The sequence below is a fragment of the Homo sapiens genome, chromosome 11 (genome assembly GCF_000001405.40).
Source record: "Homo sapiens chromosome 11, GRCh38.p14 Primary Assembly".
NCBI classification, from domain to species: Eukaryota; Metazoa; Chordata; class Mammalia; order Primates; family Hominidae; genus Homo; species Homo sapiens.
In genome coordinates, this window is record NC_000011.10 from 117,452,526 (window position 1) to 117,479,963 (window position 27,438).

General features: G+C 49.9%; 1 protein-coding gene across 8 annotated transcripts in view, besides 1 other annotated feature; it reads right to left on the reverse strand.

The window, feature by feature from the left end:
- Positions 1 to 27,438, reverse strand: part of DSCAML1 (DS cell adhesion molecule like 1) — a 389,743-nt gene that overhangs the window by 24,754 nt on the left and 337,551 nt on the right. For 7 of the 8 annotated variants that reach the window (XM_011542918.2, NM_020693.4, XM_011542917.3 and 4 more), the window contains 5 exons: positions 19,344 to 19,511; positions 17,385 to 17,455; positions 12,417 to 12,657; positions 8,925 to 9,071; positions 6,229 to 6,384 (listed from right to left, as the gene is read on the reverse strand). In XM_011542918.2, coding sequence (XP_011541220.1) covers positions 6,229 to 6,384; positions 8,925 to 9,071; positions 12,417 to 12,657; positions 17,385 to 17,455; positions 19,344 to 19,511 — 783 coding nt within the window. Of the gene's footprint in view, positions 1 to 6,228; positions 6,385 to 8,924; positions 9,072 to 12,416; positions 12,658 to 17,384; positions 17,456 to 19,343; positions 19,512 to 26,809; positions 27,378 to 27,438 lie in introns of those variants that run through there. The other variant, NM_001367904.1, reaches the window with a different exon arrangement.
- Positions 11,954 to 12,455: an enhancer, noted in NCBI's record as "H3K4me1 hESC enhancer chr11:117335195-117335696 (GRCh37/hg19 assembly coordinates)". NCBI's record gives its function as "activates a minimal SCP1, AML or CMV promoter by ChIP-STARR-seq in primed H9 embryonic stem cells {active_cell/tissue: H9 hESC(primed)}" and the evidence as "EXISTENCE:reporter gene assay evidence [ECO:0000049][PMID:30033119]".

Sequence of the window (27,438 nt, forward strand, 5' to 3'; positions counted from 1 at the left end):
TGGGTATTGTTTTTCACCTACCATTCTGACAGTCTTTATCTTTTAATTGGAGGATTTAGTTAATTTATCTTTAATGCAATTATTGTTATATTCAGGTTTAAATATACCATCTTATTAAATACTTTCTATTTGTCTCATCTATCCTATCCCCATTTTTCTTTTTCTTTTCTTTTGTGGCTTCTTTAATTAAGTCAAATAAAAAATATTCTATTTTCCTCCCTCTATTAGCTTGACTGTTACACAGTCTTTCACTACTTTTAGTGGTTCCATAATAGATTACAACATGAATCTTTAGTTTACCAAAGTCTAATATCAATGGGCACTTTTCTTCTCAGACAATGCAATGACCTTAGAGCTTCCATTTACCCTGTCCCAACCTTGCCATTGTTGTGTATCTTATTTCACTTTATTTTCATTTTTTTTGAGACAGACTCTCACTCTGTTGCTCAGGCTGAAGTGCAGTGGTGTGGTCTCGGCTCACTCACTGCAACCTCCACCTCCCGGGTTCCAGCAATTCTCCTGCCTCAGCCTCCTAAGTAACTGGGACTATGGGCGCCCACCATGATGCCAGGTTAATTTTTGTATTTTTAGTAGAGACGGGGTTTCACCATGTTGGCCAGGCTGGTCTCAAACTCTTGACCTCAAGTGATCCACCGGCCTCGGCCTCCCAAAGTGCTGGGACTACAGGCTTGAGCCACCATGTCCAACCCCATTGTCGTTTATTTTAATTCTGTATATACATCATCATCATCACTGCTGTTTTATGCGGCCAACATTAATTTAGATTTACCCATACATTCAGCATTTAATTGCTCTGCCTTTACTCGTTGCATCATTGAGCTTCCTCCTACAATCATTTTCCTTCTAGTTAAAGAATATCCTCTGGTATTTCTCTAGGGCAGGTATGTTGGTGATACATTCTCTCAGTTTTTATTTGTCTGAAAATGTCTTTATTTCATCTTAATCATGAAGAATAGTTTTGTTAGGTATAATATCATAGGTTGGTAACTGTTTCCCTTACATATTTTATATATATACAAATACATCATTGTCCTTTTTTCTGGTTTCCATTGTCTCTGACAAGTTAGCCACAATCTTATTGCTTCTTCTTTGGAGGTAATCCGTCTTTTCTCCTCTGGTTGCTTTTAAGATCTCTCTCTCTTTTCTTTATCAGCTTTAATATGATATGCTTAGGTGTGGATTTCTTTCTTTCTTTCTTTCTTTTTTTTTTTTTTTTGAGATAGAGTCTCGCTCTGTCCCTAGGCTAGAGTGCAGTAGTGCGATCTTGGCTGACTGCAACCTCCGCCTCCTGGGTTTAAGCAATTCTCTGCCTCAGCCTCCTGAGTAGCTGGGATTACAGGCACCTGCCACTGCACCTGGCTAATTTTTTGTATTTTTAGTAGAGATGGGGTTTCACCATGTTGGCCAGGCTGGTCTTGAACTCCTGACCTCATGATCGACCCGCCTCAGCCTCCCAAAGTGCAGATTTTTTAAATGTGTGACAATAGAGTTTGTAGAGCTTCTTGAATTTGTGGCTTGATATCTTTCATCAGTTTTGAAACATTTTCAGACATTTTATCTTCCGCTCCATTCTCTGTCTCTTCTTCTTTGGGATTTCTTCTCACTGCATCCTCTATGTCCTTGATACTTGGAATGTGGTCTGTGGATCATTACCAGCATCACCCGGGAGCACGTTAGAAGTGCAAAATCCGAGATTCCACCTGAGACCTGCCAAATCAGGATCTGAATTTTAACATGATCCCCAACTGATCTGTATACACACTGAAGTTTAATGTTTCTTACCTGCTCTTTTAATTTTCCATCTATTTGTCTTTCTGTGCTACATCTGGATATTTTCTTCTGCCTATATTCCAATTCACAAGTTATATCTTCAACTGTGTTTAATGTGTTATTAAACCCATCAACTGAGTTCTTAATTTCAAGTATTAGGGTTTTTTTCCCCTAGATTTTCCATTTGATAGTTTCCAATTCTCTGAAGTTTTCAATCTGGTCAAGCAAAATTATCTTAAAGTCCATGTTTGATAAAACCCAAGTTGGAAACCTTTGTGGGTCTGTTGCTCTTATCTGTCTTTTTTTCCCTGCTGGCTTTTGTTCATGTTGTCCCATTATTTTTTATTGTATGCCAGACACGGCATTTGCAAAATAGTTTGTAGAAATAATTTGTGGCATCTGCTGATGTTATCTTCCTAAAGAGAGGATTCATGTTTGCTTCTGATAGGCACCTGCAATCTGGGCATGAGCAATCTGGGGTAACTTAAATTCAATTTCCAGTATTGGGATGATTTGAAGGTGAACTGTCTGCTTTTGGTCCACTTTTACCCTTAGAGTGCTGTCCTTCATGGTCTCACCTCTAAGTGAGGGGGATTCACCAGACAGACCCCCACATCCTGGCAGGCCCTGACCTCTAGCTCATGTCTTTCTAGTGCTGTTCAGCTTCTTGGCCACTTCCTCCAGATTCAGCAAATGTCCCCTAGGGGAGGAGCTGTTCCAAATGTCAGGCTCACCTCCAGGGCCTCTATTTTCCCCTGGATCCCGGCCTAATGATTCTTCACTCTCCTGCTAGCTTTATGATGCCTTCAACAGGTGTTCTAAAAAGTAGTTTGTCCATATTTCCTAGCTGTCCTCCGCAAGAAGAGTGAGTTTCAGTCACCCAATCCACCCTTGCTGGAGATAGAACTCCTCTGGTATGTTTCTCTGAACTTGTCACTGCCGTTCATCCTCAGTGCTGCTGCCCTAGTACATAACTTCCTCGTCTCTGCCTTAACAGGTTCTAACCAGTCTCTCTGACACTAGTCCTCATTACCCACCCTTTGCCTGCCATCAACAAGAATTACCTTCCTAAAACATGGGTCTAGTCATGCCTCTTCCTCAGTTAAAGGTCTTTAAAGTGGTTTAAAATCCAAGTCAGCTTTGCATGTGGAGGTCATATTGCTAGGTTTGGTATTCACAGGGGGAGGTTGAGGAGTTAGCACTGGAACTCATGAATTGGGTCCAGCCAAGCCAGCCTGAAACCACGCTCAGACTGAGATCTGGACTCAGTAAATAAACCTGAATTTATGTTTGCATTTTGTTCTTTTAAATTTATTTTGCTTTTTTCTAAATTTCCTGATATTGTTTTTCCTTTAGAAAAATGCAAAATCCTGAGGGTGGGATCACGGTGTCTTCAGATGAGGATATTTGCAAAAGCTCCCATACCAGGGCTGGACTTGGACCACAGATCTGTCTGCTTTCCATGCCAACTGAGTAATAACTGTAAAAACTTCCACCTATGAATGGGAGAGCCTGGTGGAGCTGGGGTGGTTGTGGAGGACAGGCAGAGTTGACTGCTACCCTCTGCCATTCCCTCCTAGTCCTTGCAATTAGAACCTAACTTTTGCTTAGGTATCTGTGTTCCTCCACACTTCAGAGACAGCTGTCTCTACTGCCTACAGTAGAGGGTATGTCGTGCTTGGGGTAAATCGGTCCTGATAATTCCATTTCCCGTTTGGTGACTGTCTTAGCAAGAGGCATGTGGCCCCACTCTGACCAATGGGAAATGAGGATAAGTCTGTTGAGGGGGTTTCTGGGAAAGTTACTTTGACTCCCAAGAGAGGCATGCCCGCAGGAAGAGACTCCCTCTTCTCACTCTGAACTCTGTCTTGCCTGGTGTGATGCCTAGGGCTGCAGCCATCTTGAAATCATAGCAGGGGCAGCTGATATTCAGAGGATGGCAGAGCAGAAGGCTGGGAACCACTGACTTAACCAACCCTGGAGCTGTCCTACTCAGGACTTCTTGCTATGTGTGATAATAAATGTGCTTATTGCTGAAATGTTTTTGCTGGCTTTCACAACAAAAAGCTTCCTAACAGACACAAGTAGTTTGATGGAAAGGATAAAGTATACGGAGACAAGAAAGCCTGGATTTGTCACCTGTTAGTTGAGCGGCATTTGGAAAGTAGCTTTCACTCTGAAGGCCTCAGTTTTCTCCCCTGTAACATGGAAATAATGCCTCCCTCACAGGGCTCTTGGGCAGGTTAAGTCATATTATGACTGCTATTCTGGATGAGACGTCATCTGACACTGGGTTCTTTGTGGCCTGGGCTTCCCCTTGGAGGCCCTGATGCCGCTATCTGAAGCAGTCATTTCTTTTTTTTTTTTTTTCTTTTTGAGATGGAGTCTCGCTCTGTCACCCAGGCTAGAGTGTAGTGGTATGATGTCGGCTCACTGCAACTTCCACCTCCCAGGTTCAAGCGATTCTCGTGTTTCAGCCTCCTGAGTAGCTGGGACTACAGGTGCCCACCACCACATCCGGCTAATTTTTGTATTTTTAGTAATGACGGGGTTTCCCCATGTTGTCCAGGCTGGTCTCGCACTCCTGACCTTAGGTGATCCACCCACCTCGGCATCCCAAAGTGCTGGGATTACAGGTGTGAGCCACTGCATCCGGCCTGAAGCAATCATTTCATTGCCAGCACCTTGGTAGCCATAAAGCACCTGCTATTTGCTAGTACTTGACATTTTAGACGTGGTATTAGTACTTGATGAGGTACCACTCTCCCCATGTTATGAGGAAACTGGGGTTCAGGAAGGCTAAGTGACTTCCCCATGAATGCCAGGCTGGGGGCATGCACTTCCGCTGTATTTACCAGCGCCTTTTCCATGCTGCGGCGCCGCCTCCCGAAGGTGAGGGGCAGTGCTGCTTTGGGCCCGGGCTCCTGCTGTGTATAACCATGAGTGGCTCTGGGGCAGAGGGCTGAAGGCTCCTTGCAGGGAGGGGTGATGCCCCTAGACCTCTGGGTTCCTCACAGGGCCTTGCCTTGTTCAGTTAAACAGGTGGAGGTGCTTATAGCTCAGGCCTTGCATCAGAATAGGAGGCAAGAAGAAGGCTGGGGGCCCCAGGGGCTCATTTCTGGAGGCCAAAAGGTGCCTGAGTGTGGCCCTGAGGCCTCAGATGGGACCAGGCTCTAGATGCCATCTCAGCACAGTCTCCACGCTGGAGCAGGTGGCTCTGCCCGGAGCTGTCCCAGGAGGCCTTGATGGGAGGATTAATGACAGGAAAAGTAGGGCAGGCAGGTTGGTAAATATTGAATTGCTCAGAGCTTAAAGGGAGAGGGGGCCTGCTGGAGGTGGAGAGGGAGGGAGAGCCGGGAGATTAAGCTGAGCTGGGAGCTGGTCCAGTCCCCGGGCACTGGGCGACAATGGCAGCTTCTCCCCCACCACTCCCAGCCGAGTCGTTCCTTTTCAACATGTCAAACCCTTCCAGTGCCTTCAGCCAAATTGTTTGGGTAGGATCTAGACTCTGGGTCTCCATATCCCTCGAAAAAACTAAGGGTGAGTGGAAAGGAAGCCACCATGCCAAGGATGTCTCCCGCTTCTGTGCCTGCTGTGTGCCAGTCGTTTGTCACACCTCTTCTAGTAACGGGGCACCCGGCCCAGAGCACTCACCTGTGAAACAACTAAATGATGGAGCTGGTACTGGGAGGGGAAGAAAGTGGCGGGGCTGGAGGCGGAAGCCCAGAGCTGTGTGCTGTTCATGCACTGTGCCTCCCTGGCGGCCCTGGGGTAGTGCAGCTCCAGGCCTGGGTGGAAGCCTGGTCCTTCTCCTGGCCTGTTCCTCCTGGGCTGACTTCATCCCAGCCTCCCCTTTTCCCCTGCCCTTACCGTGTCACTCTGTCCTTGAGTCTGGCCCTCTGTCTCTGGCTTTCCTCCAGTTCTGCCCCATGAGGAAGGGCTTTGAGATCACCCAGCTCCAAATGGAGGCACACCCCCATCCCTGCCTTGACAGTCCAGGGCCAGGACCATGCTGCGGCCTCTGTGGGGTGACCACAAAGTCCCTAACCCGTGATGTACTGAGCGATGCTCCTGCTTCCCCTAGCCCCAGCGTGTATCCAGAGGAAAGCAGGCTGAATCTTGCAGGGGAGCAGATGCCACAGAAAGAATGCCCATGGTGTGGGAGGAGAGGGTTTTTCCGGCCTCTGACTCAATGCTGCAGAGAGCAGGTGTGTATGTAGGGGGTGCGGGGGGAGGTGCAGGGAGGTTCACAGTTGCTTATCTGCTCACGCATGAATCCTAGAGCATTTCCCTCAAGAGTCCTCAAGGCTACTCTCCCACAGTTTGAAGGCCAGGAGAAAGGACAGTACCCTGCTCTCACCCTGCCTCCTGGGGTGGGGCTGGGGGTTAGCAGTGGGTGGCAGGGCCAGCCTGTCCCAAGGAGAGGCCTGGACTCACCGTCCTCCTTGGTCTGGATGTAGAGCACACTGCTGCGTACGCCGTCCCCAGCCTGGGTGTAGGCCAGCACCTGGACGCTGTAGTTGGTGAACTTCTCCATGCCCCGCAGCTCCACCCGCTCCCGCGTGGTGGTGATGTTCTGCATCTCGCCCCACTCTGCCAGAGACCAGCAAACTCTGAGGACCCAGCTCCATCGGGCTGTGGCCCCTGCTGCTACCCCTGCTGCCTGGGCTCTGCCCACACCTACTGCACAGGCTCAGCCCTCGACTCCATGGTGGCGAGGACTAGAGGGTCTTTCACCTCAAGGTACCCAGGAGCAGATGCGGGCCACTGCCCCCAGGCCACGTCTCTCTAAGGGGCCAGTGAGGGCGAGCCACAGATGCTGGCCTGGGCCCGGCCTCAATTGACCTTGCACCAACTTCACCTTGACACGCTCTTTAAAACGCCTCTCTCCATCTCTCCAGGCAACATTTCTCCCTCCCGCTACCCAACTCCCTTCCCATGGGAGAGCCCAGAGTGGCTTGGACCTGGATGGAGGAGGTCCCGTGCAGGAGGCACAGCTCAGCAGCCACTCTTCCTGCTGGCCAGCCCGCCTTGGGCCGCCAGACCTCCCTGGGCAGTTATCAACCTGGGGATGGTGTGTGACAGGCTGAGGCTGCCTCCCCTGCCTCTGACCACTCCTGGGCCAGTGCCCTGGACTCCCAGTTGGGGTAAGGGGCTGAGTGACTCATCTGCCTTCTCCCCACTGTTGGAGACACCCAGCCATTCCCTGCACAGAAAGCCTGGGTGAGTCTGGTGGAGCCGATAGCCTTAGCCAGGAAGGGCTGGGACACTCCTGAGGCTCAGGGAGGACCCAACGTCCCAGCCCTGCAAGGACCTTCTCATAGACTCTAAAGAGGAGCTTAGGGAGAGAGTCCCATGGGGGCCAGAGTTGTAAGAGGAGGAAAAGGGACAGACTCTGGAGCCTCCCACTAGGACTGCTGGGCTTTCAGAAAGACAGGTCCAGCAACGGGCTGAGGACCAGCCTCGTAGACATGAGTTCCTGGAGACCCCCCTCCCAGCACCTCGCGGATGGTCCAGGGCAGGCAAAAGGCCAAGGCAGAGGGCCTAGCCAGGGAAAGCAGCAGCTGCTGGGATCCAGAGGGCAAGAAGGCTGTGCCCAGCGTGAGAAGACTCCAGGTCAGTGAAGGAGGACCCTCGGAGGTCAGAGCAGCAGGGCCTTCCTCTCCTGGAGTCAGAAACCAGGCTGGCCTGTCCAGGACTGGAGCCAGAGAAAGGGCAGGAAGAGGGCAGCGTGGTCAGGAGTCCAGCTTGTCTTTGGGGATTACTGAGGCTAATACATTCCTTAGGGGCTAAGCTGGAGAAGCCCGCAGGCTTCGAAAAGAGGAAGCGAGTTCTGGAAAACAGGGAACCACCCTTTACTTGGTTCCACACAAATATGAATGTAGTGAGGTCACATTGTGAGCAGCGTGGCCTGACACTGCACAGCAAAAGAACTGGGGAGACCTTCAGAGAGCTCAATCTGAGCTAGAGCCCTCTGCTTTTTGTGGGAGAGAGTGGAAGTGGTGGTGGGGAAAGACACTTCCTACTGGCAGTGTGTCTGGGCAGAGCAGAATCTGGATGGGAGAGGGGACCGTAGTAGCGCTGGACAAATGACTGTGAGCTGGATTCCAAGGTCCTCCAGGAAAGAAGAGAGGGCCCAGGGGGCTGGGAGGCAGAAAGTGCAGGAGCTGGGTGGGGGGCAAACTCATTTTAGTCCTTTGTGGTCTATTGAGATGACTAAGGCCTTTAATGGAGCATTTCCACAGTATGGGATGCCTGTCCTCTGACCTGTGTGAGCTACAAGTCTCCAGGTCACGTGAAGGTCTGTGTACACCAGTGGGCAGGAGCTTGGTGTGCCTGCGGGAAGCTACTCAAACCTGTTTGCACATTCCAGGGCGAGGAAGACATTCAAAAGTTTGGGCCATCTTACTGGTTTCTCTCCATTTGCCATTTCTCTACCCCCCTGCTCCACTGTGCGCACCTCTCTGCCCTTCTCTGGATCCCGGGCGGCTTGTCTGCACAGAAAACACGCCTTGCTGCGTGCCTGGCTCCAGCTGGGTTTGGCCAAGGGAGGCTCTCCCTGGGTTCTGGTAGCCCTGCTTCCTCCCTCTCCCCCTTGGCCTTAGGTGTTGATGGCTTCCTGCTGATGCTGGTCCCAGGTGCCCACCTCCCTCCTCAGTCCCTTCATTAAACTCTTTGATCGCCCCATTTGAGTGTACCGACTATTCCCCACCGGTCCCTGGCTCACATAGCCATAAAGGCCTAATATCAACACTGAAACTAGAAAAGCCAATCTGCCCCTATCATGCCCCCAACACTTCCCCAAACACACACTGTTGTCCAGGAGTAGCTAGGTGTCTCCTTCCCACCCCTCACCAGAGATGCCACCCTAGGTACCACCCCCCCACCTTGCTCCTGGCTCTGACCCCAGTTGAACACGGAGGTGTTCAAGTGAATCCCGAGCCCCTTCCTCACTCTCCCCCGGCCCCTATAGCCATTATCGCCCCCCGTGGTCTCCCCGTGTGGAGAAGAGGGGGCTGCACTTCCTCTTGCCAAGCTGTGGGAGGATGCTCAGCTCTAACTACGCCTGGAAGCAGACTCCACTGACCTGCGCCTCTCCCCTGAGTCCCAGCCATCAGTCCCAGCAGACTCACCCCCATCAACATAGAGGGACCAGAAGATGACCCGATAGCCTTTGAGGACGCCATTGAGGGTGCTGCGCGGGGGCTCTGACCAGGAGATGACGGCCACGTCAGAAGTGATGGACAGGGCCCGGACGTTCTCAGGGGGCTGGCTGGGCACTGCAGGGGGTAGGGGGAGAACCAAGGGTCCAGTCAGTCATGGATGTGAGTGACAGTACAGCAATTGTGTCCCAGGCTGGGTCCCGCAGTCCAACCAGAGGAGCGTCCAGTTAGACAAGTGGGGGGACCTCCTGACTTGAGCATCCTGATTGTTGGGGCAGGGAGGCTGGGAAGTGAACCGAGTTTCCTTTCCTGGAGATTGGGGCAGACAGAAATCTTTACAGACTTGGTTCCTTGCTCTCTGGGTAGCACATTCCTGGTTGTGGTTAAATCCTGGGGAAGAAGGTGAGGAACTCTGGGCACGAGCCCCTAGGAATTCCCCAACAGGCCACCACGACCCAGGCAAATCCTGCTGTGATGAACATGACAGACCTGGAAGGCCACCAAGCCAGCCCTGGAGGTGTCTGCAATGCATCACCTCATCTGATGGCTGCCAGCCCCTCTGTGTCGTCTGACCAGGGGTCTGGGCCAAGGCCTGGTTCTAGGGACTCCTGTGTCCTTGTTCCAAGCTAAAGGGAAGGCAAAGAAGGGAAAAGGACTTCAGCTAACCCTGGTGCAGGAGAGGAGTTTCTACCCGGACCTTGGGACCTCTGGGACCATTAAAGCTTCGCTCGTGCCCTTGTATTCAAACACACCAAAAGGCTTGGTGTGATGGGAAAACCCTCTCTGAGACCAGCTTAGGTGCTTCTCCCGCCAGTCACACTCTCCCTCTGAGAGCCACCTTTGAGTTTAAGCTGAGGTTCACCCTGGGGCGCAGTGCAGCCTGCCCCTCCTGAGATGACAGGCCTCCGAAACCCCACGCCCCAGGATCCACCTCAGCTCGGGGGAGCTTTGGTGGCACTTCCTGCTGGCATCCGAGGGCCAGGGACAAAGCGCAAGACGGAGTCTGCTTCGCTCCGAGTGGAAGAAAGGATGCACAGGCTGGCTGGAAGGAAATTAGATCCCGTTGCCCCACAAGAGGCAACTCTAATTTTTATGAGCATTTAAATGATAATACATCATCCTAACGATCCTCTTTGAGAATGATTATTGTTTCATATTACTTAGGTGTAAAAATATAAGCACCATGTAATTAGGGACCCAGTGTAATAAACTAATACAGATCGCCCATTCGAACAAAATGAAGGTAATATAATTATGGAAAAGACACTATTGCTAAAGCAGGGGCCCTTGAATACCCCAGGAGGAGTGCTAATATTGCCAGGAAACGATCAGGATCTGACAGGCTAACGAGGGCCTTAATTAAGTATGAAAAACTGCTGAGCAAATGCTGCTGGAAACTTTCTTCTCCCCTCTCCTCTGTTTTGAAAATGACTCCATAGCCTGTGCTGATCTCTCCCTGTTGGAAATTCCAGGGGCCCCCCACGAGGCAAGGGAGGTGATGTTTGGACAGAGGCCAGAGGTGGGCCTGGCGTGGCCCGGGTGGTGCATGGGAGCTTAGCGTTAGGTGGGGCAGGCTGGCCTCGGCTCAGCACGACTGTTCCCTGGACACACCTTCCTAAAGCCTCCTGCATCTGCGTCACTTGTTCGTGCATCCAGCCTTGCTCCCAAGCAAAAGGGAGGCACAAGGTGAAGCAGGAAGGCTATGGGAATCAGAGATTTTGATCCAGACTCTGTTGTTTTCTGGATAGATGGTTCTAGATGGTTTAATCTCCTTGAGCCTTGGCCTCCCTTCATGGATAATTGTGCGACTCTTGGTGCTATGATTCCCAAAGGTGCTCCCTGGACAAGCAGCATTACCTGGGAACTTATTAGAAATAATACATCCTTTTTTTTTTTTTTTTAGAGATGGGGTCTTGCTGTATTGTCCATGCTGGACACCCGGATTAGAAATGAACATTCTTGGCCCCCACCTCAGACCTGCTTGAAGCAGAAGCTCTGGGGGTTGGAGCCCAGCAACCTACATTTCCTAGACCTCCAGGAGGTCTGCTTTGTGCTCAGGGCTGGGAACCAGGTGTTAGGGCACTGCTCAAATGAACACTCCTGGCACTAAGAGGAGACAAGCTGATCTTCCTCAATCCAGCCAGGCCCGAGGCCAGCATCTCAGGGTGGGAGGGATGGAGAGGGATAGCGAGGGCCATGGGCTGAGGGCTTGGTTGTGGTGCGGCTCTCCTCCCTCCCCCTGGACTTCTCTGCCACGTGCCTCTTTCCTTCTTTCAGTTCTCCCCTCTTCTCAGGTGCTCAGTGCTCTGGGGCTATTGAAGTCGGCCCCATCTTAAAGCCCAGCTTTTGCCCCAGAATCATGAAATGAGAATCTCTGGTGTTGAAGCCTGGCATCAGTATTTTGAAAGTTCCCCAGATAATGCCAACTGGTGGCCAGCGTTAGGAACCATTGGTATGAGCGAATCTACTTTCAGGTGTTTCTGACCTAATGTGTCCACCATCCCCAGGGTGCTGCATTTTCAGAGAGGATGAGCTAGGAGGAGGACATTGCTTCCTCTAAAGGAATAGCTTTCTGATGGTGAAACGCTTGGTCTCCTGATGGGAATAGGGAAATATCATTCTGCCCTCCGGACTGTTGGTTTCGCTCTGTTGGGGCGGGGTGGGTAGGCTCTGACTCGGGGGGCTTTGGCCTCAGACCCTAGCTTTGGGTTGGGGCATCAAGAAGGAAGCTTGGAAGAATGCTCTGCTGCTTCTTTATTCTGCTCTTTAGGGGACAGAGGTCAGCCTGGCCCCTTCTCTGGGAGCATCAGGGGCCATGTCCTTTTTCTCAACCTGGTGCGGGCTCAGGTACCAGCTGGCATCTTCTCTGTGCTTGGAGTGCAGGCATATTCCTGCTTCCTCCTAACCCTCTCCTCCTGGAGAGACTGGGCCCTTTGATGTGCTAATCAGAGTGTGGGGTTCTCTCCAGTCATGGAAGAATGAAGACTTAAAAATCCTCTAAATCCTCTGCCGCATGCACGTTAGGATTTCTTAACTCCTCAGCCTCATCTCAGGTAGATGGTGGACAGGTTCCAGACTAGAACACAAAGGCAAATAGGACCCAGGTGTAGAGGGAAGAGAGAGGGGTTAGCGTGCCAGGAAGAAGGAGGAAGGCCAAGGGAGAAGCGTGGATGGGGAGACAGGTGGACAGACAAGTGCTCAGACAGGCCAACAGGTCAACAGAGACCGGATGAGCACAGCATCGGTCAAAAGGAAGGAGAGGCCCGATATGCTGAATGGCCCATACATCTCTGGAGGAGCTAATGGACAAGAGGAGATGGCGGGGATGCAGGGAGCCTGCGTGGACCACAGGACCAAAATGGGGCCCAGGGGCAAACAGAGGGACCCACAAACCCTCTCTGGCAGCCCTGGCTCTGCCCATGGCAGGAATCTGTGCCCACTCCCTTCTGCTGGGGCCCTCACCATCCTCCAGAGTGGTGGCATTGATCTCGCTGGAAGAGGGCCCCGTGCCAGCCCGATTGAAGGCTTGGACCACCACCCCATACTGGGCGAACTTCTTGAGGTTGTCCAGGGTGTAGACCTCGCTGTCCCCCGTGGCCTTCATCTCCACGATGCTGTACTGCCCGTTGCTGCCGGGGCTGTTCTCTCTGTAGCCAATCTGGTAGCCCCGGATGACACCGTTCTGCAGCTCCTTCTTGGGTGCCTGTGAGCATGGGGTGGGGGTGGGCACAAAGAAATGGCAACACGCTGAGATGATGCTCTTAAAACCAAAGTCAGATCATGTCACTCCTCTGCCCCAGCCCTTCAAAGGCTCCCATCTCACTCAGAATGAAAGCCAAAGTCCTTACAATGGCTACTCTACCCTGTGTGACCCGACCTCCCATTACCTCTCAGATCCTCTCCTGTGCCCCTCGCTTCCTGCGCCCCAGCACTCTGGCCTCTTTGGCCGCATCCCCATCTCAGGGGAAACACTCCTCCCCTCTGCCGCGTCCTTGCCGAAATGCCTCTTCTGAACGAGGCCTTCCTTAACTCCTTATGTAAGACAGCTCCCTGCCTCTCTCTGGCACTCCTTATTTTTCTTCCCGGTTTATTTTCCTCCACAGCACTTAGCATCATCTGACAGTCTATAAATTTCACTTATGCATTAGTGAAATTTGCCTGTCTGCCTGCATTAGAACGGAAGCACTGTGAGGACGCTTTGTTACTGTCGCACTCTCCGTGTCTAGAATGGTGCCTGGCATACTATGGGCCCTCAATACATATTGAATGAATGAATGAATGAATGAATGAATGAATGAATGAATAGGGATATCATTTGGCATGGGTTCAGGGGCCTGGGGAAAATAGAACAGCAGACAAAAAGTAATAAGATGGAGAGGGAGGTGAGCAATTAGTTTGAATAAAAAGAAAGAGTCCCAAGATACCACTTCACATCCATTAGGACGGCTCTTATAACAATAATGGAAAATAAGTGGTAGTGAGGATGGAGAAATGGGACCCTGTACATTGCTGGTGGGAATGGAAAGAGGCACCGCTACCATGGAAAAGAGTTTGGCAGTTCCTTAAAAAGCTAAACATAGAATAACCATACCATCCAGCAATTCCATTCCTAGGGTTTATGCCCAAAATAATTGAAAACAGGGATTCAGAGAGATACTTGTACACTCATGTTCAAAGCAGCATTATTCAGAATAGCCAGAAGGTGGAAGCAACTCAAGTGTTCACCAGGAGATGAGTGGAGAAGCAGAATACGATAGTGCAATACAATGGGATAGTATGCAGCCATGAAAGGGAGAAAACACTGACATCCGTCACAGCGCGGATGAACCTTGAAGACACTGCACTAAGAGAAATAGGCCAGACAAAAAAGGACAAAAGCTATTTGTCCGATTCCACTTAGGTGGTACTTAGAATAGTCAAAATCAGAAGAAAATAGAAAGGCCAGGTGCGGTGGCTCATGCCTGTAATCTCAGCACTTTGGGAGGCTGAGGTGGGTGGATCAGTTGAGTCAGGAGTTCGAGACCAGTCTGGCCAACATGGTGAAACCCCATCTCTACTAAAAATACAAAAAATTAGCTGGGTGTGGTAGCACACACCTGTAGTTCCACCTACTCAGGAGGCTGAGGCAGGAGAATCGCTTGAACCCGGGAGGCGGAGGTTGGAGTGAGCCAAGATCGACAGAGTGAGACTCTGTCTCAACAAAAGGAGGGTGGAATAGAGCTTTCACGGGGAGCTCATGGTTCATGGGTACAGAATTTCAGTTTGAGAGGATGAAAAAGCTCTGGAAGTGCTAGTGGTGATGGTTGTACAACATTGTGAATGTGCTTACTGCTATTGAGCTGCACGCTTAAACATGGTTCAAATGGTAGATTTTAAGTTATATGTATTTTGTTAAAACTAGAGAAAAAAAGATCCCTGACTTTCACCTGGGTGCAGCCCCTCTGGGAACTCTAAGGCTGCAGTGCCCCAGACGCCAAGGCCAGGGATTGGGGAATGGTGAAGGCTGAGGCCCGAATGAGCCCTGGATGGAGGCACAGAGATGGCAAGGACTTGGAGGTTAGAAGGGGGCTGGTGGGAATGAAGACTGAGCCCAGTCAGCCAGGCGAATGGAGAAACTCCACTGGCATCGGTCTGGGGCTGGAAAACTCTCATCCCAGGCTCGAACCCTGATAGACACCCAGCCAGGTGCGCGCACGCATGCGCGTGCACACACACCTCCCCCCTCCCCCCGCCGCCAATATATCCATTCACACCCAGAACCAGGAACACGTATCCAGACCCATCAAAGCAAACATCTTAATCCACACCCCTACTCCCAACCAGATACATTTAGATCCGCAAATAGAAACTGGCTCCTTTAATGCCCGGGCCTGCCCATCTATAAATTGAGACAGAACACCCACCCCAGCGCATTTAAAAACAGCTTGAATCGGGGTTTTAAAGACAATGAAGTTAATTTAAAAGCCCACCTTTTATTGTACTAAAAAATAGTGAGATAAAAACAATTAAGTTAGTAAAACAGCACTACTGTTTTTTTTTCTAGTCAATGAATGTTTTAAATGAACTGCATTTTTAAGCTCACTGTTAATAAAATGAAGTTTTTAATTTAACATAATTGTTTTGGACTCACTAAATAGGTGTGTGTCTGTGTGTGTGTGTTTAATTGACTTTACTCTTTGTTGCTGCTTGAATGTTTCTCTCTGCACTTGGGCAGTTCTGCTTGCTGCTCTGTAAGTGGACACATTTTTACATTTGGGTCTTGTATCTACACATGTATGTCTATGCACACACACATACACACAGACATCATTATAGATACAAATGTATCTTCAAGAGCCTGAGACCTTCCTCTTCACATCGACCCCCATTCTCACGCTTCATGTACGTGTATCTATACTGACACACATTGAACATCATTATACTATGCCACAGATTGCCTACATGCCCAGAGCTATGTATACCATGATATATACCTGCACACGTGACCACATCCACATATACTGACAGGTCTCAGACAGGCATGCAGGCACACCCCAATCTATCCATCCAGATAGATTCACATATTTATACAAATCTTCACAGATCCTTCCTGCCTCCTTCCTCTCTCTTTTTTTCTCTCCTTCTCTGTCCCCCGCCTCTCCAAACAGCCACAGTCAGGATTTAAATCAATCTTAACAATATTTCTCTGAAGCATTAAGAAATCAATAGGGCTGATTGCAAATTTATGTCATAAAGCAGGGGCGATCCATCTCGTGGAAAGGGTCTTAAAATGAAGTGACTTATCTTCAAGTGAATCTTTATTTTTCATTAATCTGTTTCTCAATGTTAAAAAAAAAAATCCCCTGAGAAGTCAGCCCAAAATTTATTGACCACCTGGTTCATTCTGAAGTTCTAACTTTCTAATCAATTTTATTTTTCATTATGAGACTTTGGAGAAATAAATCTGATTCTAAATTTTTATCGACCTGTGGGTCAGAGCTTTGTAGCCCAATGTTTCAGTACTTTACATATTTATTCATCCCTGCCCCCACCTCCTGGCTGCCTTGGAGTGTTTCTAGGATACAGGTCCACAGCCAGGACGCAGCCAAGAGTTTGGGATTGGATGCCCGGCCTCACCCCACTTTCTGAGGAGAGCCCTGGAACCCAGATCTGAATCTGGAGAGGAACCCTGGCTCCAGGTATCCACTAGGTGGGCTGCCCCCAGGAAGGACCAGCTGCCCAGCCCTACCTCGCTTTCCTCTTGGTCATGCCTCTGGGAGGGAAGGAACCAGGCTGCTGCTATGTGTGTGAGTGTGAGTGTGAGTGTGCGTGCACATGGTCTTAGGAAAAATATCACTAGGTCCTTCTGAATCTCTCTCACTCTCAAGTCTACCTTTCTAAAGAGCCCAGAAGAAGGACTCAAGCACCTGGGCTTTTCCTGTCAGGCGGAGAGTCAGAAAGTCACCGTGGACAATTGGTCCCTGATTAAGACAGGCAACCCCCGAGCCCCACTGTTGAGATGGGAAAGCTCCAGGAAGAACACAGAAGGCCCTGAGAATGCTCTCTGATCCAGAGCCCTGTGCAGTGGCTGTGGAGGGAAGAGTGGCTGGGGCTGCAGACTCTGTGTTGCAGTCTGAGCTCTGTCTCTGCTAGCCAGGCCACCTCACATCTTGTCTCCATGGCCTCCTCTGGTGGAAGGGGATAAAAGTGCCTTCTCTCGCTGCTCCCCAGGAATGAGGAGAGGGTCAGATGAGTTGGTAAAGAGAAAGCACTTGGAGACTGGAGGATGCAGTGAGACAGGAAGCCCCTGGATTGCCAGCCCTTCTATGCCCATGGAGGGGTTTGGTGGTAGGGCCAGAAGATGCCCATTTCTGAGTCCTGCTCAAGGTCATTCTGTTCTGTTTCCCTGCCCAGCTGTGGAATCTCCCCTAAGATTTTCCTTAAGTGACAGATGCTTCAGTCACCCCCTATATTTTACAGGTCTTTGCCCTTAGAAATGGCTATAGCACATAGTGGTCTCTTTTCTCTACAGTTTCTCCACCCTCAGAGGTAGGGAGGGCAGTTGTTTTCATGCTGATGTTAGAAAGGAGGAACTTGGCACAAAATCAAACCTACTTCCAACCTTATTACAACATGTGGGGTTTGGACGACGGGCCAGCACCACCGAGGAACCATCTTCCCTCCTTGGCACTGCAAGTTTTTCGTTCCACCCCAGGCAGAGCCTCCATCAGAGAACCAGGGAGGAGAGGGAAGTGGGGATTATTGTGCTGGAGGGACCTGCCTTTGCCTCCCTCTCCTTCCATCTCTCAAATCTCACTAGGTTTAGTGACAAAACAGACATGGGCATCATATAAGACTAGAGACTAGCAAGCCTGCTGGGAGCTTTCGTCCTGGATTGAGGAGAGAGGAGGCAAGCAGACATTCCAGGGGAGATGCCTTAGACACACTTACCTTCCAGGTCACCTGGATGCTCTGTGAGGTCACTGGCTGCAAGGTAACATCCATGGGGGGCCCATCGGGAGCTGAGCAGGGTAGCGGGGAGGAGAAACATTACAAGTCAAGACTTGGAAGAGGAAGGGGTTCTATGTTCCCACTCCCACCCTCCTGAGCTGGAGGGCTCCTGGGGAGAAGACTAAGCTCAGATGCAGATAGCAGAGAACTTTTGTTTGAGTTCCCCTGAAAGTAACATAGGGTTTCAATTTCCTCTTCATTCTCTATAATTTGCTGAAAATATAGCAAACAATGATAATAAGGTACTACTGTACATTCAGTAGGATGGCAAAAGTTTTTAAAAGTTGAAGAGTATGAAGTGTCTGCTTCATAAAAGAATGTCTAGGCCGGGCGCGGTGGCTCACACCTGTAATCCCAGCACTTTGGGAGGCCAAGGCGGGCGGATCACGAGGTCAGGAGATCGAGACCATCCTGGCTAACAGGGTGAAACCCTGTCTCTACTAAAAATACAAAAAATTAGCCGGGCGAGGTGGCGGGCGCCTGTAGTCCCAGCTGCTCGGGAGGCTGAGGCAGGAGAATGGCATGAACCCAGGGGGTGGAGCCTGAACTCTTATCCTCTGATCATGGGAGAGAAAATTGGCACAACACTTCAGAAAACATTCTAGCATTTTTTGTTAAAGGTAGAAGTATTTGCCTGTTTGATGACTCTGTAATTCTACAACTGCTTATATCCCCTAGAGAAACTCATGAACCGGTACACTAGCATACAGGAATGCTTATAGCAGTATTTTTGTAATAGCTCCAAGCTACAAACAATCTAAATGTCCATCTACAGTAGAATGGACAAATCCCCTGTGGTATAGTCATATAATGGATACTATACAGCACTGAAAAAGCATAAATGATATAGCTATGCTAATGACATGAATGAAACTTGCAAAAGTAATATTGATTAAAACAAGCAAGACACGGAAGAATAGATGAAGTATGATGTCATGAATACATTCTACTGGAAAATAGGGAAAACTAAATTATACATTTTATTGCATATACACTGTGGTGACAGTACAAAAAAGAATGAAAATTAGTATCACAAAAATCAGGATATTGATTACTTCAAGAGGAGGGGTGGTGTTATGACCAGAAAGGGGTACATGGGGGACTTCTGCCATGCTGGCTAATGGATGATGAGTGTTGGTTATACTCATTGTTTACCTTATGCTTGTTTATAAAACTGCACATATATGTCATGTGTATTTTTCTGCATTTTTTTTTTTTTTGAGATGGAGTCTTCCTCTGTCGCCCAGGCTGGAGTGCAGTGGTGCGATCTTGGCTCACAGCAAGCTCTGCCTCCCAGGTTCAAGCGATTCTCCTGCCTCAGCCTCCTGATTAGCTGGAACTACAGGCATGCGCCACCACGCCCAGCTAATTTTTGTATTTTTAGTAGAGACAGGGTTTCACCAAGTTGGCCAGGCTGGTCTCGTACTCCTGACCTCAGGTGATCCACCCTCCTTGGCCTCCCAAAGTGCTGTGATTACAGGCATAAGCCACCACTCTCGGCCTCTTCTGCATTATTTTGTATTACATGATAACAAAAGAAAACATAGCAAGATAAACCTTGTTTAAACTTTCAAGAAAACTCTATGATGAGGGTCATAGAAAATGATCCAGGCCCTAGTACCCTATCTTGCAGATAGATCTTTCCAGATGCTGGGGCCAGGGGAGTGGGGCAGAACCACAGATAGTTCCCCCAAACCCAGTATCTAGAACCCCGCTTGGAAAAGGGTCAAATAGGAGCCTGCAGTGATCCAGAGGTGGACACAAACATCTGTTAGGATGCTTTTCCCCACGCCACCCCCTTTAACTGCAAGCTCATTGCCAGTGAACAGGATCGCTGTAGGCCCCTGGTGGTCCTGATCCCTGAGGCCATGGGCAGGGCAGGCTGGGTGAGGTGCTCACCGGCCTCCTCAGTGCTGATGGTGAGCTCCTTGCTTGGTTCACTGCGGCCAATCTTGTTGAAAGAGTACATGCGGATGCTGTACACAGATGCCGGGTGCAAGTCCACAATGTTGGCCTGGTTGATGGTGGGGGAGATGTTGCGTGTGGACTGCTTGAAGTCCCAGGAATCTGGAGAGAAGACACCTATGTCAAAGCATGGCCAGGCAAACTCCAGGACCCCTTCCCAGCCTGAAGTACCAGTACAACCCAATATTAAGTTGGATGCCCGAGGGGTCCAGCTCACACAGACTGCAGAGAGGGCACAGGCCTGAACAACTTCACAGACGGTGCAAGGGGTCTGTCCCATGCAGCTCCAGCTTGGGAGAAGCCTGACTCTCCTCTGCCACTGGCCAGCCTGTAAGCTCAAACTTCAGGCAGAGGTCGGACGAGACGTTCCCCAAGGTCCCTGCCAAGATCACCATCTGTTTGCTATCCCTGAGGGTCTGACTGGCCAGTGCCCTTCTTCCTGGGTCTCCCCTCACATCAGTGACCTGGTCTAACAGTGAGACACCCCATTTACCCAGTGGCCCCCATGCAAAGCAGGAGGCTAAGTCTCCTCTCCTTTTCTCCTCCTTTTGTGTGTGCTTCTGTCTTTCTTTTCCTTGTGCACTTGTGAGGTGATGAACTTGAGTGTTATATGTCAGGGTTGAGGGGGACAGGCCAAGTACCAGAGTCCCCAGTCCAAACCCTACCCTCTTTCCTTCATCGACAGGAGGATGGTTTCAGAGTCATTAGGGTTAGGGGCCACCAAAGAGATTAACATGTTCACGATTTATCCAGGGAGACTGGTAGTCTATCTCACGGCTGATGTTTAGCAAAATTGTAGGAGGTGGAAAATACCAGATAAATACCATTCAGGTGTGACTGAACATATCGTGATGGTGAACACCCTGCATCTCCAGAGGAATCCAGTCATTTGTTAAATATGTTTTGGCTGCGCACCTATTAGGGGTCTCCAGAGGAAACGGGAAGGAGTTGCAATTAAAAATGCCTCAGCTAGGACCTTCCACACCCGGGATTCTTAACCAAATAACTGTTTTGGCACCTTACTTGGAAAAGAAAAAAAGGCAAATCACAAGGAAACAAGCTGATAGTAGGGCTGAAAAATGTTCCCAGGGCAAGTCCAGATGTCACTATTCCGTCTAATTTTCTATGCCTTTAAACCCACAGTAGAGTATCGTGAAAAATTCTCCATAGAAAAGATTAAGTTGTATTCACCACAGTTTAAATCCTAAATCAGGAAAGGAGGCTAGCACATTCTAGAAAGACTAAAAAAATTTTTTTTTGGTTAAAACTAATGCCTGATAGGCCAGGCACAGTGGCTCATGCCTGTAATCCCAGCACTTTGGGAGGCCAAGGCGGGTGGATCATTTGAGGTCAGGAGTTTGAGACCAGCTGGGACAATATGGTGAAACTCTGTCTGTACTAAAAATACAAAAATTAGCCGGGCGTGGTGGTGGGTGCCTGTAGTCCCAGCTACTTGGGAGGCTGAGACAGGAGAATTGCTTGAACCCGGGAGGTGGAGGTTGCAGTGAACCAAGATCATGCCACTGCACTCCAGCCTGGGCAACAGAACGAGACTCCATCTCAAAAATGAAAAAAACAAAACAAAACAAAACAGAAAAACGTAATGCCTGATAAATCAGGAGAATTGGTTCACCAGAAGACAATGTCCCAGGCCTCCAATTTCTGGTTAGTTGAGATCTTGATGGTTTGCAAAACACCACTTATAGCTGCTCAGGCTTAGCATCTGTGAAGGGCACCGGCCCAGCTCCCCATCTGTAGTTTTGCATTTAATTCTTTGGTTTCACGAGCCAGAGAAACAAAATGGCAGGCTGTTGGTGCTCAAAAACACATTATTTTCTCTTTGTATTTTAAAACACCCTAACCACGGGAGGGTCACTTTGTGGTTGGCAGGTTAAGTTGGAATTGCAAATATGCAGGCTCCTACCTGCTGTGGGCACTTGCTTGTGGGTTTGGGACAGAACAGGCTAGTCATGTGGAGGCAGGTGCTCCCTTCTCTCTGTGGCATCCTGGGAGCTGGCGCCAGCTCATAAGTCACATCTGATGTGCCCATGTTTATAGGAGAGGGAGAGGGAGCACAAGTCAGTGCATTCATTTTTGATGAGTGCACGCAGAGGGAGGAGACTGGGGCGGTGTGTCTGGAGAAGAGGCACTAATATTTACCAAGCACCTGCAGTGTGCCAGGTGCAGCGTTGGGCAATTTAAATGCTCACCATTTACTCCTCACATCCTCCTGCGACATCAGTGCTCCATCTCCACAGCAGAGGTGACCTTCGCGGCACCAAACCCAATTTCTCTCCTGGCTTTTTGGGTGTATTCAACACTTGGACCTCTCTCCCTTCTTCAGGAAACATCCCCCTACTCAGCTCCATAATAAAACACTCTCTGGCCTTTTGCTTATCTCTTGGGCCAGCTTCTCTCTGTCTCTGTGCAGGTGCATCCCCCTCTACCCTACCAGGAATGGTTCGAGTTCTTCAAGCCTCCACCCGAGGCTTCCTTCTCTCTTGCCATGCACTTTCCCCAACCATGCATTCTATTTTCATCTCTGCGCAGATACCTCCCAGATTAATATCCAGCCTGGGCCTCTCCTTCCGACTCCAGACCTTATAGCCAAGTTTTTAGTTGACGGCTCATCTTGGATGTTTCATGGACACTTCAAACTCAACCTGTCCAAGACAGAACTCTTGACCATACACCCTGCTTACCCAGCAACTTCCTGGGTTCTATCTTGAATGGCACCACCATTATCAATTTCTTGACTCTTCCTTCTCCCTTTCTCCTTATCAAGTGGGATAGCTTTTGTGTTCTGTGTCATTCCTTTTTTCCTTTTTTTTTTTTTTTGAGATGGAGTCTCGCTCTGTCGCCCAGGCTGGAGTGCAGTGGCGCGATCTCGGCTTACTGCAAGCTCCGCCTCCCGGGTTCGTGCCATTCTCCTGCCTCAGCCTCCGGAGTAGCTGGGACTACAGGCGCATGCCACCACACCCAGATAATTTTTTTGTATTTTTAGTAGAGATGGGGTTTCACCGTGTTAGCCAGGATGGTCTCGATCTCCTGACCTCGTGATCTGCCCACCTTGGCCTCCCAAAGTGCTGGGATTACAGGCGTGAGTCACCGCGCCTGGCCTCTGTGTCATTCTTGAATCCTTCCGCTTCCCTCCATCCCCATCTCTACCTCAGGCTTAGCCACTGTCATCCCTCCTTAGACCAGGGAAATGGCCTCTTCCCTAGCTCTCCACGTGCTCAGCATACCCTGTTTCTTTCATCTGTTCTCTACACTGCGGCCATTGTCCACTCTACAAATACAATCGAGCTCCTCTTACAGGTGAGCATTCCATCTTGGCCCTGAGAGTCTGAGAGTAGTCTTCTCAAAACACAAATCTGATACTGCCATTCCTAACATAAAATTCTTCAATAGTTGTTCCTTGTTCTCAGGATAAAGGTAAAATTTCACAACCTGACCCAGGCCCTGCAACATCTGGCTCCTGCTCACCTCCCCAGCCTTATCTTTCTCTATTCTTCTCCTCCTCTGAACTCTTCCAGCATTTAGAGCCCCTCCTCAGTCCACAGTATCTTCTTTCAAGGGTTCACTGTTTGGTGGTAACTGCCCAAGGAGATGCTAAGCTCCCTGAAGTCAGGAGCCATGTCTAAACCTTTGGTCCTCTCCCCAGTTTCACATGTGTTGGGCACTTAAAATGTGCTGTTGATTTTAAACCAGAGCCACTGTTTTTCCCCTTTACTTGGGACTTGAAGTTCCTCTGCACTCTGTGGCCACAGTGTACTCTTTGCCATTCCCCTCCTTGCCTTGCTCAGCTGCAAATCACAGGAAGGTTGGGCGGGGGAGTGTCCCGGAGAACAACTCCTTTTTTTCTTCTGCGTTTGCCTCCCGTGGTTTGCAGGTGGATTTGACCTTGTGTTCCCAAACCATCTTTGGTGTTAGCACAAAATAGCTCCCTCTCCATAACCTTTCCAGGCTAATGCATCAGAGTCAGATCTGGAAGTCTCTGGCTGATCTGCCAAACTTGATCACTGTCATCTCCCTGACCCTGAATGGCTGAGACCAGGGGCCCTATTTTCTTCCTTTTCCTTTTCAGTTCTCAGAGTACTGAGCTGGCTTTGGTGAATATTGTCTCTTTTAATATTCCCTTTCATATGAGCCTGGCTTACCCAGATTAACATATTTCATTAAGGGCTCTCTCTCCCTTTCTTCATCAAAGGGTTTATGATGCAAAATATTCTTCTTAAAAATAAGGAAGCGGCTGGGGAGATGTCAGTGCCTTCTGCTCTGTGGGCTGCTTGCTGAGAGGGGACTGGGAATCTTTGGTTTTTCAGGAGATACATTCACTGTAGAGGGGACGCAGCTTGGAGAAAAGCCACATCTGGAGCGTTTAGCTGCCTGGGCTCAGGAAGCACATTCATTCTGCATCTCTAATTTTCTCCTTGGATCACACCTTTGAGACCCCCATGACAATCTCTTCACAGCACGGAGAAGAGGCCTCCTGCGTCACAACGACAGCTCACGACATCTCAACACCAGTCCCTCTGACAGCCACACTCCAGCTCCCACAGAACACCATGCCATGCCAGGCCAGCTCACCCCATGGTGGCCGGCACAGCCCCTACACCAGCTTGCGCTATGAGGCTGGTGTAGGGGAGGGCCATCCTCAAAGAACCCATCCTTGCTCTGTGCTTGGTGAACAGGGGCGAAATGTGGTGTCTGCATTTTTAAATCTGCACAGCGCCATCTGATAGATTTGCGTGGATGGTGCTATTTATCATTCGGCATTCATGTATTATTACTCTGCTGCCTGGGGCCAGGAGAAGTCAGCATGAGTGGGATGGCTTAGAAAGGGCAGACTCAGTAATTTCTCTTGGAAAATTAGCATGATGAGCAACATGGCAGAAATCCTGGCAAAGGCACATTTGGGGCAAAGAAGGTCGGGAGCCGATGGTCAGGACCCAGGATGGGTGTGGCCTGGGGCAGCGGGAAGTGGAGAAGGGAAGCAGAGACACAGGACAGGAATCTGTGGGAGGTTATCATGTGCCAGGCTGGGTGCTAGGCACCTCCATGTATGTCATCACACTCCCCAAATCCTCATGGCCACCCTGAGAATGAAATGTTACTGTCTCCATTTTATACATAAGGAGATGCCCAAAGATGTTAAGTACTCGCTAAAGATCATGCAGCTGTGACACTTGGTCAGCCCAAGTCTTCAGCTTTGCCAGTGGTTCTTGTTCCACTAGTCCACAGGTGCAGGAAGCTGTCCTTAGACACACACACACACACACACACACACACGTGCACACTCTCTCCTTTCTTTGAGTCATCCTCTGTTCCCTTGGATACCTTTTTCAGTTCTCACCTAATACAGTTTGTGGCATATTATACTTGATTGGATAGTGCTTTGTAATGGTTCTGAAAGTGTGTGTGTGTGTGTGTGTGTGTGTGTGTGTGTGTGTGTGTATGTGTGTGTGTATGTGTATATTCTCACTCCAACTGCATTGTAAGCTCCAAGGGCAACATTCTGTCTCCTATTTCTTTTTCTTCCTCTACCACATGGCTGGTGCATGATTCTGCAAAAAAAAAATTGGCACTCAGTACATGTGGCTGACTGACAGACACATATATTTCAGCCTGCAAGTCCCACAGGACTATAAATTGCTGCACGAGGTATTTGAGTTAGAAGAGACAGAAGAAGTTATATTTATTAAAAGTTTGCTCTAGCCCCGTGCTATCATAGATGCTTTCTCTCTAATCCTCTAAACAATCCCATGAGGTAGGCATCACCACCCCTACTTCACAGATGGGGAAGCCGTGCCATGCCCAGGGTCTCTGCTGGCCTCCAGTGATAGCACACTGCAGTTCTCATGGCACTCCTGTTCCTAAATGCCAGGATGTGACAGATGCCTGCCTGGGTGGGCTGTGCTGGAGCCATCCCACCCAAAGGTGTGGAAAGGACCGGCTGCCTTCTCAGTGCTCTGGGTCCTGTGACTTAGTTCTTTAAGAGTGCAAAGCCCTTGTGGTAGGCAGAGACTGAAGCTGAGCTTTCATTATCTCTCCCTCCACCTTCCCCACCCATCCTGGCATTCCTAGCTGGGGTGGTCTACCGCAGTTCCTCATTCTGCAGGGAGCCAGAAGGGCAAGACGTGGATGTGCTGTAAGAATAGCATCTTCCCTTTCCACCTTGCCTTCTGCCTTGCTCTCCAGACGTGTGATGTTCTCCACATTGCCCCTGCTGAGGGGTGCCCCAGGAGAGGCTCCCACGCATTAGAGACTGGTCAGTGGAGGGGCTGTGGGCATCAGGGCAGCATGGGGGAGGAGGAACGGGGGGAGGGGCACGAGCGACAGCCCAGGCATCCACCTCCCATCCCAGATGTGCGCCGGCAGGGAGGCGGTGTGTGCAGTGCCATGAGGGATGTCACCCTCTGGACCCAGCCCTTCCTGTTTACTCCTGGGTGGCCTGTGCCCAACCTCAGGGAGCCCTGAGATGTGACATGGACACAGTCAGCCCTTTTGTCCCCTTTGCCTCATCACATATCCCCAGCTGCAGGGCTGCAATGGCCTCTTTTCTTTTCTCCTGGATACCAATTTCTTCCACTCACATTCATTCTTCTAAGGCACCATGTTTGCTCAAGTCTCCCCCGGGAGCTCAGACATTGTTAGCGGCTCTCAGTGACCTTCCCCAGCAAAGTGAAAGCTCAGCCCGGACGCCTCCCTCCCAACCTGGTCCCAAAGCACCTTTGTAGATTTATTGCCCATGAATTGCATCTATGAGCCCTGTGCTAGATCATAGGCCACTTCCTGGTGTGCATTGCACCCTCACTTGGTCTCTGTCCTTCGCTTTCTCAAGATCTTGGCCTGTTGCCTTTCAGTACCCAAGACCCATCTCAGTGCAGCATCTACAGGGGACCAGACACATGCCTTCCTGGACAACCCCTGTTGGCTGACGCCCCTCCTTGGATCTGTAGCCCTCCTGCACTCAGATTGAACTCCTGGGTGGCTTACCGCAACTCAACCGGAAGTGTCTGAGAATACGGTTTGTCTCTGTAGACATGTGTATCAAAGATGACTGACCCAGGTCCCTGGACAGAGTGGCTTCTCAAGGGGTGAATGCAGCTCAGAGATTTGCTTTCACATGTCCCACTTCAACTCACTCACCAACACTTGCTGAGCATCTACCATGTGGCTGGGCCCTGTGCCAGGTGCTGGAAATGCAAAGGGAACAGGACTTGGCCAATCAAGAGGAGAGGACAGCCGGCCGGCCAATGGCCACTGCCGTGCTAAGTGGGAGAAGAAGGGTCTGGAAGCTTCAGGAGAAAACGAAACCTTCCATCTAAGTAAGGACCCACAAGAGGAGTTGAGCTGGTGAGGGAAGGAGACTGAGGAAGATTGAGTAATCTAGATTCTACTGTTTTCTATGCTTTATTTATAGTTTAATTTGTAATTATTTTGAGGAGTGAATACAGGCTTATGGTATCAAATTCAAAAGGTACGAAGGATCCAGAGTGAGACAGCTGTTTTCTTCTCACCCTGCTGTGAAGCCACCCAGGTGCACTCTGTTCCCCTCTGAGGCCCCTCCTTGCCATTCCTGCCACCTGACCATGGGACTTACCACAGTCTCCCCAGATGCGGGGTGCCCATGGCGCCCCACAGTGCCTCACAGTGGCGGGGCGGCCGCACAGCAGCCAGTTGGCACCTGAGAGGAGGGCTCTGGGAAGGGCTTTTTTTGTTTTTTTTTGAGACAGAGTCTCACTCTGTTGCCCAGGCTGGAGTGCAATGGCACGATCTTGGTTCACTGCAACCTCCGCCTCATGGGTTCAAACAATTCTCCTGCCTCAGCCTTCTGAGTAGCTGGGATTACTGGGGTGTGCCACCACGCCTGGCTAATTTTTGTATTTTTAGTAGAGATGGGGTTCGCCATGTTGACCAGACTGGTCTCGAACTCCTGACCTCAGGTGATCCACTCGCGTCAGCCTGCCAAAGTGTTGGGATTACAGGTATGAGCCACTGCGCCCAGCTGGGAAGGGCTCTTAGA